The 17,451-nt window shown below is 42.7% G+C and overlaps 2 annotated features.

The window, feature by feature from the left end:
* Positions 5,113-5,720: an enhancer, noted in NCBI's record as "NANOG-H3K27ac-H3K4me1 hESC enhancer chrY:19177943-19178550 (GRCh37/hg19 assembly coordinates)". NCBI's record gives its function as "activates a minimal SCP1, AML or CMV promoter by ChIP-STARR-seq in primed H9 embryonic stem cells {active_cell/tissue: H9 hESC(primed)}" and the evidence as "EXISTENCE:reporter gene assay evidence [ECO:0000049][PMID:30033119]".
* Positions 5,721-6,328: an enhancer, noted in NCBI's record as "NANOG-H3K27ac-H3K4me1 hESC enhancer chrY:19178551-19179158 (GRCh37/hg19 assembly coordinates)". NCBI's record gives its function as "activates a minimal SCP1, AML or CMV promoter by ChIP-STARR-seq in primed H9 embryonic stem cells {active_cell/tissue: H9 hESC(primed)}" and the evidence as "EXISTENCE:reporter gene assay evidence [ECO:0000049][PMID:30033119]".

A 17,451-nucleotide genomic window follows, 5' to 3' on the forward strand; every position in this document is an offset into this window, starting at 1 on the left:
AGTGTACATGTGCACATTGTGCAGGTTAGTTACTTATGTATACATGTGCCATGCTGGTGCGCTGCACCCACTAACGTGTCATCTATCATTAGGTATATCTCCCAATGCTATCCCTCCCCCCTACCCCGACCCCACAACAGTCCCCAGAGTGTGATATTCCCCTTCCTGTGTCCATGTGATCTCACTGTTCAATTCCCACCTATGAGTGAGAATATGCGGTGTTTGGTTTTTTGTTCTTGAGATAGTTTACTGAGAATGATGGTATCCAATTTCATCCATGTCCCTACAAAGGACATGAACTCATCATTTTTTATGGCTTCATAGTATTCCATGGTGTATATGTGCCACATTTTCTTAATCCAGACTATCATTGTTGGACATTTGGGTTGGTTCCAAGTCTTTGCTATTGTGAATAATGCCGCAATAAACATACGTGTGCATGTGTCTTTATAGCAGCATGATTTATAGTCATTTGGGTATATACCCAGTAATGGGATGGCTGGGTCAAATGGTATTTCTAGTTCTAGATCCCTGAGGAATCGCCACACTGACTTCCACAATGGTTGAACTAGTTTACAGTCCCACCAACAGTGTAAAAGTGTTCCTATTTCTCCACAACCTCTCCAGCACCTGTTGTTTCCTGACTTTTTAATGATTGCCATTCTAACTGGTGTGAGATGATATCTCATAGTGGTTTTGATTTGCATTTCTCTGATGGCCAGTGATGATGAGCATTTTTTCATGTGTTTTTTGGCTGCATAAATGTCTTCTTTTGAGAAGTGTCTGTTCATGTCCTTCGCCCACTTTTTGATGGGGTTGTTTGTTTTTTTCTTGTAAATTTGTTTGAGTTCATTGTAGATTCTGGATATTAGCCCTTTGTCAGATGAGTAGGTTGCGAAAATTTTCTCCCATGTTGTAGGTTGCCTGTTCACTCTGATGGTAGTTTCTTTTGCTGTGCAGAAGCTCTTTAGTTTAATTAGATCCCGTTTGTCAATTTTGGCTTTTGTTGCCATTGCTTTTGGTGTTTTGGACATGAAGTCCTTGCCCACGCCTATGTCCTGAATGGTAATGCCTAGGTTTTCTTCTAGGGTTTTTATGGTTTTAGGTCTAACGTTTAAATCTTTAATCCATCTTGAATTGATTTTTGTATAAGGTGTAAGGAAGGGATCCAGTTTCAGCTTTCTACATATGGCTAGCCAGTTTTCCCAGCACCATTTTTTAAATAGGGAATCCTTTCCCTATTGCTTGTTTTTCTCAGGTTTGTCAAAGATCAGATAGTTGTAGATATGCGGCATTATTTCTGAGGGTTCTGTTCTGTTCCATTGATCTATATCTCTGTTTTGGTACCAGTACCATGCTGTTTTGGTTACTGTAGTCTTGTAGTATAGTTTGAAGTCAGGTAGTGTGATGCCTCCAGCTTTGTTCTTTTGGCTTAGGATTGACTTGGAGATATGGGCTCTTTTTTGGTTCCATATGAACTTTAAAGTAGTTTTTTCCAATTCTGTGAAGAAAGTCATTGGTAGCTTGATGGGGATGGCATTGAATCTGTAAATTACCTTGGGCAGTATGGCCATTTTCACGATATTGATTCTTCCTACCCATGAGCATGGAATGTTCTTCCATTTGTTTGTGTCCTCTTTTATTTCCTTGAGCAGTGGTTTGTAGTTCTCCTTGAAGAGGTCCTTCACATCCCTTGTAAGTTGGATTCCTAGGTATTTTATTCTCTTTGAAGCAATTGTGAATGGGAGTTCACTCATGATTTGGCTCTCTGTTTGTCTGTTGTTGGTGTATAAGAATGCTTGTGATTTTTGTACATTGATTTTGTATCCTGAGACTTTGCTGAAGTTGCTTATCAGCTTAAGGAGATTTTGGGCTGAGACGATGGGGTTTTCTAGATAAACAATCATGTCGTCTGCAAACAGGGACAATTTGACTTCCTCTTTTCCTAATTGAATACCCTTTATTTCCTTCTCCTGCCTGATTGCCCTGGCCAGAACTTCCAACACTATGTTGAATAGGAGCGGTGAGAGAGGGCATCCCTGTCTTGTGCCAGTTTTCAAAGGGAATGCTTCCAGTTTTTGCCCATTCAGTATGATATTGGCTGTGGGTTTGTCATAGATAGCTCTTATTATTTTGAAATACGTCCCATCAATACCTAATTTATTGAGAGTTTTTAGCATGAAGGGTTGTTGAATTTTGTCAAAGGCTTTTTCTGCATCTATTGAGATAATCATGTGGTTTTTGTCTTTGGCTCTGTTTATATGCTGGATTACATTTATTGATTTGTGTATATTGAACCAGCCTTGCATCCCAGGGATGAAGCCCACTTGATCATGGTGGATAAGCTTTTTGATGTGCTGCTGGATTCGGTTTGCCAGTATTTTATTGAGGATTTTTGCATCAATGTTCATCAAGGATATTGGTCTAAAATTCTCTTTTTTGGTTGTGTCTCTGCCCGGCTTTGGTATCAGAATGATGCTGGCCTCATAAAATGAGTTAGGGAGGATTCCCTCTTTTTCTATTGATTGGAATAGTTTCAGAAGGAATGGTACCAGTTCCTCCTTCTACCTCTGGTAGAATTCGGCTGTGAATCGATCTGGTTCTGGACTCTTTTTGGTTGGTAAACTATTGATTATTGCCACAATTTCAGAGCCTGTTATTGGTCTATTCAGAGATTCAACTTCTTCCTGGTTTAGTCTTGGGAGAGTGTATGTGTCGAGGAATGTATCCATTTCTTGTAGATTTTCTAGTTTATTTGTGTAGAGGTGTTTGTAGTATTCTCTGATGGTAGTTTGTATTTCTGTGGGATCGGTGGTGATATCCCCTTTATCATTTTTTATTGGGTCTATTTGATTCTTCTCTCTTTTTTTCTTTATTAGTCTTGCTAGCGGTCTATCAATTTTGTTGATCCTTTCAAAAAACCAGCTCCTGGATTCATTGATTTTTTGAAGGGTTTTTTGTGTCTCTATTTCCTTCAGTTCTGCTCTGATTTTAGTTATTTCTTGCCTTCTGCTAGCTTTTGAATGTGTTTGCTCTTGCTTTTCTAGTTCTTTTAATTGTGATGTTAGGGTGTCAATTTTCGATCTTTCCTGCTTTCTCTTGTAGGCATTTAGTGCTATAAATTTCCCTCTACACACTGCTTTGAATGCGTCCCAGAGATTCTGGTATGTGGTGTCTTTGTTCTCGTTGGTTTCAAAGAACATCTTTATTTCTTCCTTCATTTCGTTATGTACACAGTAGTCGTTCAGGAGCAGGTTGTTCAGTTTCCATGTAGTTGAGCGGCTTTGAGTGAGATTCTTAATCCTGATTTCTAGTTTGATTGCACTGTGGTCTGAGAGATAGTTTGTTATAATTTCTGTTCTTTTACATTTGCTGAGGAGAGCTTTACTTCCAACTATGTGGTCAATTTTGGAATAGGTGTGGTGTGGTGCTGAAAAAATGTATATTGCTGTTGATTTGGGGTGGAGAGTTCTGTAGATTAGGTCTATTAGGTCTATTAGGTCCGCTTGGTGCAGAGCTGAGTTCAATTCCTGGGTATCCTTGTTGACTTTCTGTCTCGTTGCTCTGTCTAATGTTGACAGTGGGGTGTTAAAGTCTCCCATTATTAATGTGTGGGAGTCTAAGTCTCTTTGTAGGTCACTCAGGACTTGCTTTATGAATCTGGGTGCTCCTGTATTGGGTGCATAAATATTTAGGATAGTTAGCTCCTCTTGTTGAATTGATTCCTTTACCATTATGTAATGGCCTTCTTTGTCTCTTTTGAACTTTGTTGGTTTAAAGTCTGTTTTATCAGAGACTAGGATTGCAACCCCTGCCTTTTTTTGTTTTCCATTGGCTTGGTAGATCTTTCTCCATCCTTTTATTTTGAGCCTATGTGTGTCTCTGCACATGAGATGGGTTTCCTGAATACAGCACACTGATGGGTCTTGACTCTTTATCCAACTTGCCAGTCTGTGTCTTTTAATTGCAGAATTTAGTCCATTTATATTTAAAGTTAATATTGTTATGTGTGAATTTGAACCTGTCATTATGATGTTAGCTGGTGATTTTGCTCGTTAGTTGATGCAGTTTCTTCCTAGTCTCGATGGTCTTTACATTTTGGCATGATTTTGCAGCGGCTGGTACCGGTAGTTCCTTTCCATGTTTAGCGCTTCCTTCAGGAGCTCTTTTAGGGCAGGCCTGGTGGTGACAAAATCTCTCAGCATTTGCTTGTCTATAAAGTATTTTATTTCTCCTTCACTTATGAAGCTTAGTTTGGCTGGATATGAAATTCTGGGTTGAAAATTCTTTTCTTTAAGAATGTTGAATATTGGCCCCCACTCTCTTCTGGCTTGTAGGGTTTCTGCCGAGAGATCCGCTGTTAGTCTGATGGGCTTTCCTTTGAGGGTAACCCGACCTTTCTCTCTGGCTGCCCTTAACATTTTTTCCTTCATTTCAACTTTGGTGAATCTGACAATTATGTGTCTTGGAGTTGCTCTTCTCGAGGAGTATCGCTGTGGCGTTCTCTGTATTTCCTGAATCTGAACGTTGGCCTGCCTTGCTAGATTGGGGAAGTTCTCCTGGATAATATCCTGCAGAGTGTTTTCCAACTTGGTTCCACTCTCCACATCACTTTCAGGTACACCAATCAGACGTAGATTTGGTCTTTTCACATAGTCCCATATTTCTTGGAGGCTTTGCTCATTTCTTTTTATTCTTTTTTCTCTAAACTTCCCTTCTCGCTTCATTTCATTCATTTCATCTTCCATTGCTGATACCCTTTCTTCCAGTTGATCGCATCGGCTCCTGAGGCTTCTGCATTCTTCACATAGTTCTCGAGCCTTGGTTTTCAGCTCCATCAGCTCCTTTAAGCACTTCTCTGTATTGGTTATTCTAGTTATACATTCTTCTAAATTTTTTTCAAAGTTTTCAACTTCCTTGCCTTCGGTTTGAATGTCCTCCCGTAGCTCAGAGTAATTTGATCGTCTGAAGCCTTCTTCTCTCAGCTCGTCAAAATCATTCTCCATCCAGCTTTGTTCCGTTGCTGGTGAGGAACTGCGTTCCTTTGGAGGAGGAGAGGCGCTCTGCGTTTTAGAGTTTCCAGTTTTTCTGTTCTGTTTTTTCCCCATCTTTGTGGTTTTATCTACTTTTGGTCTTTGATAATGGTGATGTACAGATGGGTTTTTGGTGTAGATGTCCTTTCTGGTTGTTAGTTTTCCTTCTAACAGACAGGACCCTCAGCTGCAGGTCTGTTGGAATACCCTGCCGTGTGAGGTGTCAGTGTGCCCCTGCTGGGGGGTGCCTCCCAGTTAGGCTGCTCGGGGGTCAGGCGTCAGGGACCCAATTGAGGAGGCAGTCTGCCCGTTCTCAGATCTCCAGCTGCGTGCTGGGAGAACCACTGCTCTCTTCAAAGCTGTCAGACAGGGACACTTAAGTCTGCAGAGGTTACTGCTGTCTTTTTGTTTGTCTGTGCCCTGCCCCCAGAGGTGGAGCCTACAGAGGCAGGCAGGCCTCCTTGAGCTGTGGTGGGCTCCACCCAGTTCGAGCTTCCCGGCTGCTTTGTTTACCTAAGCAAGCCTGGGCAATGGCGGGCGCCCCTCCCCCAGCCTCGTTGCCGCCTTGCAGTTTGATCTCAGACTGCTGTGCTAGCAATCAGCGAGATTCCTTGGGCGTAGGACCCTCTGAGCCAGGTGTGGGATATAGTCTTCTGGTGCGCCGTTTTTTAAGCCGGTCTGAAAAGCGCAATATTCGGGTGGGAGTGACCCGATTTTCCAGGTGCATCCGTCACCCCTTTCTTTGACTCGGAAAGGGAACTCCCTGACCCTTGCGCTTCCCAGGTGAGGCAATGCCTCGCCCTGCTTCGGCTCACGCACGGTGCGCGCACACACTGGCCTGCGCCCACTGTCTGGCACTCCCTAGTGAGATGAACCCGGTACCTCAGATGGAAATGCAGAAATCACCCGTCTTCTGCGTCGCTCACGCTGGGAGCTGTAGACCGGAGCTGTTCCTATTCGGCCATCTTGGCTCCTCCTCCCAGATTTTTTTGATGTGTTTTTTTTTCCCTAAGAAGAACAAAATAAACATTGTACTTACCAGATTTTAAGCGTCATCCTGTTTAGATGCATTTTACATAATATTTTCCATGCACTAAGAAAGATAAGAATATTTCTATCTTTAAATTTATTTTTACCTATCCTGCAATCAATTTATCTTATGGAATCACTGGCTTGTCTATAGTAAAATACAGAAGCAATGATTACTTTTGCACTTTATTGTTCAGTATTTTGTGGTGAGTTTCTGAGTGAACTAGTTAATGTTGTTATGGAGACATTATACTTTAACCAAAGTGATTTAGTTTGTTTCATACATCATGTAGTGCTATTGCTCTAATCTGTTTGATTCTGGAGTTTGCTTATGAAGCCAAGGAAAATTTATACCTTATGGAACTCACCCAAGGACAAGATAAGAATGAAGAATTAGTCAAGAAGGCAGAATAGCTTTGATGTACTTCATCTCTGAGTCATTTTAATTGGATTCTGGTTTCTATCCGTGACCAACCAATGCTTAAATAAGTGGGGAAAACATTGCTTTCACCTCTGAGGCCAGCGAAATGATGACTAATTGGTTGCACAACAATCTGTTACAGACCTTCTGCTTGAAAGGTTATTACCCTTCTGCTGTCCTTCAGCAGAAACATGATTAGTTTTCAAACCCTTGTTTATTTAACTCAATCATCCTATGTAGCTTTCTCTAGTGGATTCAGTAATATACCTTACAAATGGATTTCAGATATTGACATAGAAATAGCCATTTAACTCCTTGAAAACAAATTTGGTAAAAGGAAGACAAAAGAATAGTCCTTAATTTACTAGTGAATGACCACACATAAGTGTTCTTAGAGAAACCACTTACCTGTTGTTTATTGAATAAGGTTAAGGTTCCTCCCTTCTCAGCTCTTGGGAAAGTTTGCTGAGAAAGTGAGACAGACAGTCCTTTCAACTTTTCTCTATGTTCTGGACTCCAAGTTCATAACCGTTTGGGCTCTTAATTCTTGAAACAACCCTGTGAGGTGGGGCATATTTCTGTACCCATTCTTTAAATAAAAACAATGTATCTTTTTAAGACTATTCAATTTATCTGTCATCATAGAGTGATTATGAATTACATAACTGGAGCTGAATTACAAACAGAGACATGTCTTTTATGGTACTGTATGCAGGGAAAAGAGCTGGGAAAAAGGAACATTTTGGTTAGCAGGCAATTAAAGGCTAAATTAAGATAGATTCTGTACTCAAAAAAATTATGGTGCATGATTTAATATAAATACAAGGAGTTTTTCTTGGAAAAATACAGCTATGACTCAAACTCCAAAAAGGATTGACATTTTGTTTTGTTCTTTTCCAATTTGCAAATATATGAAGGTATGTATTTGGTAATGACTTAAGATTTTTTCTGAGCTATAGAGGTAAAGATTCAACTCGATGTAAATCAGACACTGTGAGTAATCAAAAGCAAGAGAACATGAGGTTATGTTACTGAATTCATTGAAATCAATCGTGACCTCTGGCTACAACCTACACTCCAAGAAGTCACTGCAGTTTCTAGCTCCCAAACTTGTTAATCTAATGCAGAGATTTACACCACTAGTTTTCATTAAAAAAAAAGAACAGATACTGAAGAATTTAGGTTTTAATGGTTTAGTCTCTGACACAAGTGCTCAACTCTTTCCTTCTGTGAAAACGGCAATAAGCCATGTATAAATGAATGGGCATAGCTGTGTACCAATTAAACTTTATTTACAAAAAGAGGCTTTAGATGGCCGGATGTGGCCCATGGGTCATGCTAATTTCATAGGAACAGGAGTGTCAAACAGGCATAAATAGTAACAAATATGTATATGATTGTATACTTAGAAATGTAAAGAAAGACTAATGTTAATGTCCCCAAATAAACAAATATTGAACAAAAAATGACACACATTTTACTGCAGCTTTACCCATGTATCTTGGCCCATCTTATATCTTCCTCTTTCAAAACCTGTTTACAAAATTCTCCATTCAAAGTTTATTTCTATATTATACAGCATTGTATGACATCATATTTTTATGAGAAACATTTATTCAAGTGCTACCTAGCACGGTGTTAAGAAAATTACAGATCTTTAATAAATGTCTGTTGAATACAATTGTACTGATAAGAAATGTGTCAGGTGATTCTCAGAAGATAGAAATGAATGTTCTACTTCATTGACCATCCAGGTAACTGGAAATAATATTGAACTTTATAGATGCACATAAATAGGACTTAATTAGCAGAGGAAAATTCTATGGTCATTGGTTCTATGATAACTCTACTATCATTAATGGTCAAAGTTAGTTAAGTCTTGCTTTTATAAAATAGCAACCTACCCCAAATTCAGATATTGATTTTAAAAAATAATTTTTTTAAATTATAGTGAGCTATGTATAAGTTTCTAATGCAGTTTCTGATTTCTGCCCTATAAGACAGAAATAGTTTAAATTTACATGGCAAAAAAACAAACAACAACAAACAAAACAAAACACCACTGGAACAAAGTCAAAAAATCTGAAAAGGAGTAGTAAAAACCTACAAAAAAATCTATGATAATTCCTGTACTTCAGTATTGCCACAAATAAGATGGTGTTATGGAATAGAATAAAGTCCACAAATCATGCTAAATATTTACAGAAACTTGGAGTGTGAAAATATCATATGTTAGTTCTACAGGAAAAGCATGTTTATTTATAAATGGTGCTAGTATTTTATAAATGGTGATGGTCTTTTACAGATGAGAAACATTTTAAGCTAGCCCCAAAGATAGTGAAATATACAAAATTAAAATGAAAAAAATATAAAATCTTAAAAAGTTAAAATGTCCAGGAAGTAAAATAAAGTTAAATAAAGTTTAAAAAATTAAATAATTTAAATAAAGTTAAATAAAGTTAAAAAAAAGTTAAAGTAAAATAAACAGGAAATGTGTCCTTAACAGGGGTAAAACATGAAGCGTGTTCTGCACAGAGGAAGAACAAAAAGTATGTCCTGCAGAGGAGGAACAGGAAGTGTGTCTGTCTCAGGAGAGTGACAGGAAGTGTGACCTGGCCAGAGGAGGAACAGAAAATGTGTGCTGCACAGAGAAGAAACAGGAAGAGTATCAAGAACAGTGGACACTAGGAAGTGTGTGGGGCACAGGGAGAAACAGGAAGTGTGTCTGTCTGAAGAGAGTAACAGGAAGTGTGTCCTGCACAGAGGAAGAACAGAAAGTGTGTGCTGCACAGGGAAGAAACTGAAGTGTGTTACAGGGTGACACAGAAAGTGTGTCCTGCATAGGGGAGAAAAAGGAAATGTGTCAGGCATATGGGAGAGACGGAAAGTGTATCCTTAACAGGGGAAGAAGAGAAAGTGTGACCTGTTCAACAAAGAAACAGGAAGCGTGCCAAGTACATGGAAGAAACAGGAAGTGTGTCAGGGCCTGAGGAAGCATAGGAAGTGTGTTGGTTTCAGGAGAGTAACAAAGTGTGTCCTCCACAGAGAGGGAAACAGAAAATGTGCACTGCACAGAGGAGAAACAGGAAGTGTCAAGAACAGGAGACATTCAGGAAGTATATGGGGCATGGGGGAGAAACGGGAAATGTGTAGGGCCTAGTGGAGAGCAGGAAGCATGTCTGTCTCAGGAGAATAATAGGAAGTGTGTCCTGCACAGAGGAGGAACAAAGTGTGTGCTGCACCAGGGGAGAAAGAGGAAATGTGTTCATTACAGGAGAGACAAAGGAAGTGTGTTCTACACAAGGACAAAGGAAGTGTGTCCAGCTCAGGGGAGGTACAGAATGTGTGTGCTGCACAGGGGAGAAATAGGAAGTGTATTACTCATAGGACAACACAGAAAGTGTGTCCTGCCTAAGGGAGAAAAAGGAAGTGTGTCTTTAACATGAGAGAAACAGGAAGTGTGTTTTGCACAGAGGAGGAATAGAAAGTGTGTGCTACACAGGGGAGGAACAGGAAGCATTTCCTGCACAGAAGAGGAACAGAAAGTTCATCCTGCCCAGAGGAGTAACAGGAGAAAGTGTGTCCTGCACAGGCATGGAACAGAAAGTGTGTGCTTCACCATGGAGAAACAGGAGGAGTGTCGGGAACAGGAAACACCGGAAGTGTATCCTGTAAAGTGGAAGAATAGAAAGTGTGTGCTGCACGGAGGTGAAAGAGGAAGTATATCTCTCACAGGGGAGAAAAAGGAAGTGTGTCTTGCACTGGGGAGATGGAGGAACTGTGTACTACACAGTGGAGACACAGGAAGTGTATCTAGCACACAGGAGGAACAAAAAGTGTGTGCTGCTCAGGAGAGAAACAGAGTGTTATGACCAGGGGATACACAGGAAGTGTGTCTTTAACAGGGGAGAAACAGGAAGTGTGTCCTGTACAGAGGAGGAACAGAAAGTGTGTGCTGGACAGGGGAGGAAGAGGAAGTGTGTCCTGAGCAGAAGATGAACCGAAAGTGCAACCTGCCCAATAGAGTAACAGAAATGATTTTTTTTTTTTTTTTTTAGATGGGTTCTCGCTCTGTCACTCAGGCTAGAGTGCAGTGGCGCGATCTCAGCTCACTGCAAGCTCCTCCTCCCGGGTTCACGCCATTTTCCTGCCTCAGCGTCCCGAGTAGCTGAGACTACAGGCACCCGCCACCACGCCCAGCTATTTTTTTTTTTTTGTATTTTTAGTAGAGACGGGGTTTCACCATGTTAACCAGGATGGTCTGGATCTCCTGACCTCGTGATCCGCCTGCCTCGGCCTCCCTAAGTGCTGGGATTACAGATGTGAGCCATCGTGCCAGTCCAGGAAAGAAATTTTTAAATTTTTTATTTTAATTTCAGTTCTAGAAAATTTTTAAAAAGACATATACACAAAATCTGGAGCGTAAACTCTGTGTTTGAGAAGCCGGGGAATAGCTAGATGACACTACCTTAGATGCTGCAGTGGTGTGGTTGTACTTTTCTTTTTTTTTTTTTTTTTTTTTTTTTTTTGTTTGAGACAGAGTCTCTCTCTGTCACACAGGCTGGAGTGCAGTGGGGCAATCTCGGCTCACTGCAAGCTCCCCCTCCCGGGTTCACGCCATTCTCCTGCCTCAGCCTCCCTAGTAGCTGGGACTGCAGGTGCCCGCCACCACACCCGGGTAATTTTTTTTTTTTATTTTTAGTAGAGACGGGGTTTCACTGTGTTAGCCGGGATGTTCTCGATTCCTGACCTCGTGATGGGCCCGCCTCGGCCTCCCAAAGTGCTGGGATTACAGGAGTGAGCCACTGCGCCTAGCCGGGTGCACTTCTTTCACATTGCCCTCCACCCCAGATGGTTGACACAGGTATGAGAGGGCCAGGAAGAGGGTGTCTGTCTGTTACAGGGGGTCTGTCTGCTGGAGCTGTTGTCAAGATTGCCCTAACAGCAGCACTCATGTGATGCCATCTGTTGTTTCATCCCACCCTGTTATCAGGAGGCATTATAGTACCTCTTCAGCACTCAAAGCATAGCCTGAGTGAACTTGAAAATCACCTGAAGCCTGTGCTGCTAACCCAACGTTTAAAGAAAAAGGTGACAAACACACTGGCCCATGTTAGTTACTATGTTAGTAACTGCCCTAACAGTTAGTGCTGTTTTTGATTTCCAAATTAAGAGATTTTGTTGTCATTTGAAAGAATCTCTTCTCTGTGTCTGGTCCAGTGCAGTGGGTGGTTCATGCCTATAATCCAAGCACTTTGCAAGGACTAGGCAGGCAGATCACTTGAGGTCAAGAGTTCGAAACCAGCCTGGCCAACATGGTGATCTCCCACCTCCATTAAAAACAGAAAAATCAGCCAGCCTTGGTGGTGCATGCCTGTAGACCCAGTAGCTCCGGAGGCTGAGGCAGGGGAATTGTTTGGACCCTGGAGGCAAAGGCTACGGTGAGCTTAGTTCACGCCACTGCCCTCCAACCAGGGCAACAAAGCGAGATTCTGTCTGAAAAAAAAGAACAAAATATCTTCTCGCTGCCTGATTTGTGGCTTCCTGTGCTAGAACAGGCTGTTCTGAGGCTGATACCCTGAGAACAGGGATATATTGGTTAGACCCTGTACTGTCTTTAGATGCTGACATGGTTTCCCTTCTGTACCCAAGACAGACAAGAATTTTGAGTGCTGATTTCCATAAACATCTCGTAGGCAGAGGTGCACTTAGTTGGTCCCTGTGCCTGGATGAACCTGAGAGAAATTTTCAGTGACGGACTGCAGTGCTTCACTTGTCTCCCACAGTTCTCCTTTGATCTTGATGGTGCAGTTGTGAATCTTGACAGCTCCTCAGCCCTACGCCATGCAGCAACTTGGGGTGGCAGACAGTGGAGAAAGTAGAAGATGTCCCCACCAGCCTGTGTCTCTGAAGATCTTTGAGCACCAGAGAACACACACATCCTGCCTAGATGTCCCCATTTGTGTCTGCCTTCCCTCTTTTCAGGCTTACTTAACAGGGTAGGAGTCTCATGGATTAGGAAATTGCTCTGGCAAATCATCTGACTTGAGAACTTGCCTGGTGAGGGAAGATGCTATGTCTTTTGGGGACACTGTGAGGCCAGCATCAGAACACATGAGATAGGGACAGCAATAGGATCCATATAGAAGGAGGCAGTTTAAAGCAAAGAGGAAAATAGGGTAACAGGGTAAAGGGCAGATTGAAAGGTCTGGTTCAGTGCCAAAGGAAGAGGACAGTGGACATTGTAAGGTCCTCACTGACTCAGGATAGTGAGTTACATGTTCAGTGCTGCAGAATAACTGGATGAAGATCTGGAAGTAGTTGGGAAATAAGAATTCAGAATTGATCAACCTTGCTAGTATCCCAGTTCCTTGTATTGAGCAGGTAACATGTGCCAGGTGTATTGTGAAGTACCTTACTGCACTATCCATAGTCAGGATTTCATTTAATCTACATCACATGAGCCATCTCAAGAAGGATAATGTTTTCTTGCCCATTTTCCAGATAAAGAAAGCAAAGATTTAGAGAGATGATAACCAAGTATTTTCAGGCAAGTATTCCAACTCCAGTGCATACCCCCCTTTAAAAAATGTTTTTAAGAGATGAGGTCTTGCTATGTTGCCCAGGCTGGAGTGCAGCGGCAATTCACAGGGATGATCATAAGATCATAGCACACAGTACAGTCACTCAAGAAATCCTCCTGCCACAGCCTCCTGAGTAGCTGGGACTACAGACACATGCCACCAACTCTGGCTACCAGTGCACACCCCCTTAAGCACCACATGAATGATTAGACTGTTCACATAAATGTTGAAGTATAAAGAAGGAAGCATAAGCTATAAATGGGACCCACCCTACATGGGTAGGGAGAGAGAAGAGGCAGGGTAGGGGGCAACTGGAGAAGTCACACCATCCCAGTTCACATGAATGCCAAGGAGGACTGCTGTCATAGGAAGGCTGGTGTTGAATGCCTCCTGGCCCTGTTGAGCTGTTCCAGGTGAGCCAGCCAGGTGCAACAGCTTCCTGTTGTCCTGTGTCCCCATTTAGGGACTAAGAAGGGCTTTCTGCTGCTGTAGTCAGCACATAGCTGTGAAGCTGTTTGGTTTGACTCAGTATGAGAATGCAAGTCAGGTTCTGACTGTTCTCTTTGGCCAAGAGTGCAGTGGGTACCTAGGTAATTTGTAAAGGGTAGTTTATCTGATCCTGCTTGGCCACGTGAAATGTCTTTAACAAAGGAATTGAGCTTTGGCCTTATTAAGTCACATACAGCAATAGTAGACATAGTGAGACCCCTGTACTACAAGGTGCTATATTATTTATTTGGAGGGTTTGTTTGGTTTGTTTCCTTTTTTGTACTAAATTGCTGGAAAAACTTGATGGGGAGTACTTTTTATTTTTAATACTAGAGGTATTTATTTTTCCATTGCATAGAACAGTACGTTGTTCCTTAATTTTCAGGTAATTTCAAGTATTTTCTGCTGCTACTAAAAGAAGCAGTCTTCTTCTGGGGATATATATTTTTGTGCTGGTGGTTGATTTGTTCATTTGTTGAATTTATGTTTACTGATCATCTTCTATAGACCAGCTATCATGTCAGCACTAGGAAAACATCCATGAACAGGACAGGTACAGTCCTCAAGGAACTTGCCCCAACTCCCTAACTTTTTTTTTTGAGGTAGGGTCTCTGGCTTAGCCCAGGCTGGAGTGTCGTGGTGAATTCATAGCTCGCTGCAGCCTCTAACACCTGGGCTCAAGAAGTCCTCCCGCATCAGCCTCCTGAGTAGCTGGGACTACAGGTGTGCACCACCACACCCAGCTAATATTGTGTACAGACAAGGTCTCACTATGTTGCTTAAGCTGGTCTCCAAGTTCTGGGCTCAAGTGAGCCTCCCACTTGAGGCCAGCACTTGAGCCTCTCAATGTGCTGGAATTACAGGCAGGAACTATGGCATCCATACAAACTTGTATTCTTTGAGGACACAGATGTGAATAGATTAATTAGTAAGATGGTTTCGACACTGGAACTAGTTGTGATAATGCTGAGATGAAAAAAGATTGACCACTGGGCATTATTTTTTTTTTTTTTTTTTTTTTTTTTTTGCACTTCCTGTTTCTCCCTTTTGAGGGATACACTTTTTTTTTTTTTTTTTTTTTTTTTTTTTTTTTTGAGACGGAGTCTCGCTCTGTCGCCCAGGCTGGAGTGCAGTGGCGCGATCTCGGCTCACTGCAAGCTCCGCCTCCCGGGTTCACGCCATTCTCCTGCCTCAGCCTCCCGAGTAGCTGGGACTACAGGCGCCCGCCACCACGCCCGGCTAATTTTTTGTATTTTTAGTAGAGACGGGGTTTCACCGTGTTAGCCAGGATGGTCTCGATCTCCTGACCTCGTGATCCGCCCGCCTCGGCCTCCCAAAGTGCTGGGATTACAGGCGTGAGCCACCGCGCCCGGCTGGGCATTATTGAAAGGAGTTTTATTGAGATATAATTCACATATCAGATAATTAATTCATTTAAAGGCTGCAGTTTAATTTAATTTTATTTTTCAGTAATTTACAGGGCTGTACAAGCATCACCAGTTTCTAATTTTAGAATACATTTGTACCCCAGGAGAAAAAACTCCATACTCATTACAGCAGGCCCTCTCAACCTCTCTTCCCCTTCCACGCTTAGGCAACCCCAATCTACTTTCTGTCTGTAAATATATGCCTATTCTGAACATTTCAAATAAATGTCTTCTGTGACTGGCTGTTTTTGCTTAGATAATGTTTTTAGTCTCATCTGTTCCTCCTCTGTGCAACACAAACTTCCAGTCCAGTATCTCCCCATGGAGCACACACTTTTGTACCTCCCCTGTGCAGGACACGCTTCCTGTTTCTGCCATGTTCAGCTTATATGTTGTTTCTTTTTTGTGCAGGACACACTTCCTGTTCTGCCTTTGTGCAGAACACACTTCCTGTTCCTCTTCTATGCAGGACACTTTCTGTTTCTCCCCTGTGCAGGTCATACTTCCTGTGTTTCCCCTGTGCATAACACACTTTCTATTTTTCCCCTGTGCAGCACCTATTTTTCTGTTCCTCCCCTGTGCAGGACACACTTTCTGTTACTCTCCTGAGACAGACAAACTTCATATCTCCCCTGTGCATGCCACTCTTCCTGTTTCTCACCTGTGCAGCACACACGTTCTGTTCCTCCACTGTGCAGGACACATTTCCCATTGCTCTCCAGAGACAGACACACTCCCTGTTTCTCCCCTGTGCATGCCACACTTCTTGTTTCCTCCTTGAATGGCCACCCTTTATGTTCTTCCTTTGTTAAGGACACACTTCCTTTTTCTCTGCTGTGCAGTACATACTTCCTTTTCTTGTGAGGGACACATCTTTTTTTCCTCTGTGCAGCATTCACTTTCCCTTTCTGTACTGTGCATGACGCCTCTCCTTTGTGTCCCCTGTTCATGAAACTTTTCCTGTTTCTCCCTGGTGCAGCACACACTGTCTGCTCCTCGTCTGTGGAGGACAGACTTTCTGATCCTCCCCTGTTCAGGCCACACTTTCTGTTTCATCCCTGAGCATGCTACACTTCTTGTTCTTCCACTGTGAAGCACACACTTTCAGTGTCTCTATTGTGCATACCACGCTTTCTATTTCTTCACTGTGCAACATACATTTTCTCTTCCTTCTCTGTGTGGGACACTCTTCCTGTTCCTCCCTTGTGCCTGTCACACTTCCTGTTGCTCCCCTGTGCAGGACACATTTCCTGTGTGTCCCCTGTGAGGACAACACTTCTGTTCCTCTTCTGTTCAGGACACACTTCCTGTTTCTCCACTTTGCCTGACACACTTCCTTTTTCTCCCCTTGCAGGACATATTTCCTGTGTCTCCTCTGTAAGGGCCACACTTCCTTTTTCTCCCCTGTGCAGCACACACTTTCTGTTTTCCCCTGTGTGGGACATACTTCCTGTGTCTCTCCTGTGTGGGACATACTTCCTGTTTCGTCTCTGCAAGACGCACTTACTGTATTGCCCCTGTGGGTTACAGGCTTCCTGTTTCTACTCTGTGGAATACACTTTTTGTTTCTCTCCTGTGCAGGACACACTTCCTGTTTCTCCCTTTTGAGGGATACACTTTTTTTTTTTTTTTTTTTTTTTTTTTTTTTTTTTGAGACGGAGTCTCGCTCTGTCGCTCAGGCTGGAGTGCAGTGGCGCGATCTCGGCTCACTGCAAGCTCCGCCTCCCGGGTTCACGCCATTCTCCTGCCTCAGCCTCCCGAGTAGCTGGGACTACAGGCGCCCGCTACCACGCCCGGCTAATTTTTTTGTATTTTTAGTAGAGACGGGGTTTCACCGTGTTAGCCAGGATGGTCTCGATCTCCTGACCTCGTGATCCGCCCGCCTCGGCCTCCCAAAGTGCTGGGATTACAGGCGTGAGCCACCGCGCCCGGCCCACTTTTTTTTTTTCTATCTTCTGCAACATTCATTTTTTATTCCTCTTCTGTGCTGGACACACTTACTTTGTCTCTGCTGTGCAGGGCAAACTTCCTGTTTCTCCCTTTTGCCTGACATACTTCCTGTTTCTGCCCTGTGCAGGACACATATATGGCTTTCCCCCTGTGCACCACACACTCTCTGTTTCTCCCCTAGGCAGGACACGCTTTCTGTTACTCTCCTGAGAAAGACACACTTTCCGTTCCTCTCCTGTGCAGGATAAACTTCTTGTGTTTTAGTAGAAGAGTGTCCTGCACAGTGGAGACACAGGGAGCATGTCCTGCACAGGGGAGAAACAGAAAGTGTGTGCTGTATAAGGGAGAAACCAGAAGTGTGTTATCTGCAGTGGTGACACAGGTTGTGTGTCCTACATAGGGGACAAACAGAAAATGTGTCCTTAACAGGGGAGAAGAGCATCCTGCACAGTGAAGGAACATAAAGGGTATGCTGAACAGGGGAGGAACAGAAAGTGTGCCCTGAACAGAAGAGGAAC

This window comes from Homo sapiens, chromosome Y, assembly GCF_000001405.40.
Source record: "Homo sapiens chromosome Y, GRCh38.p14 Primary Assembly".
NCBI classification, from domain to species: Eukaryota; Metazoa; Chordata; class Mammalia; order Primates; family Hominidae; genus Homo; species Homo sapiens.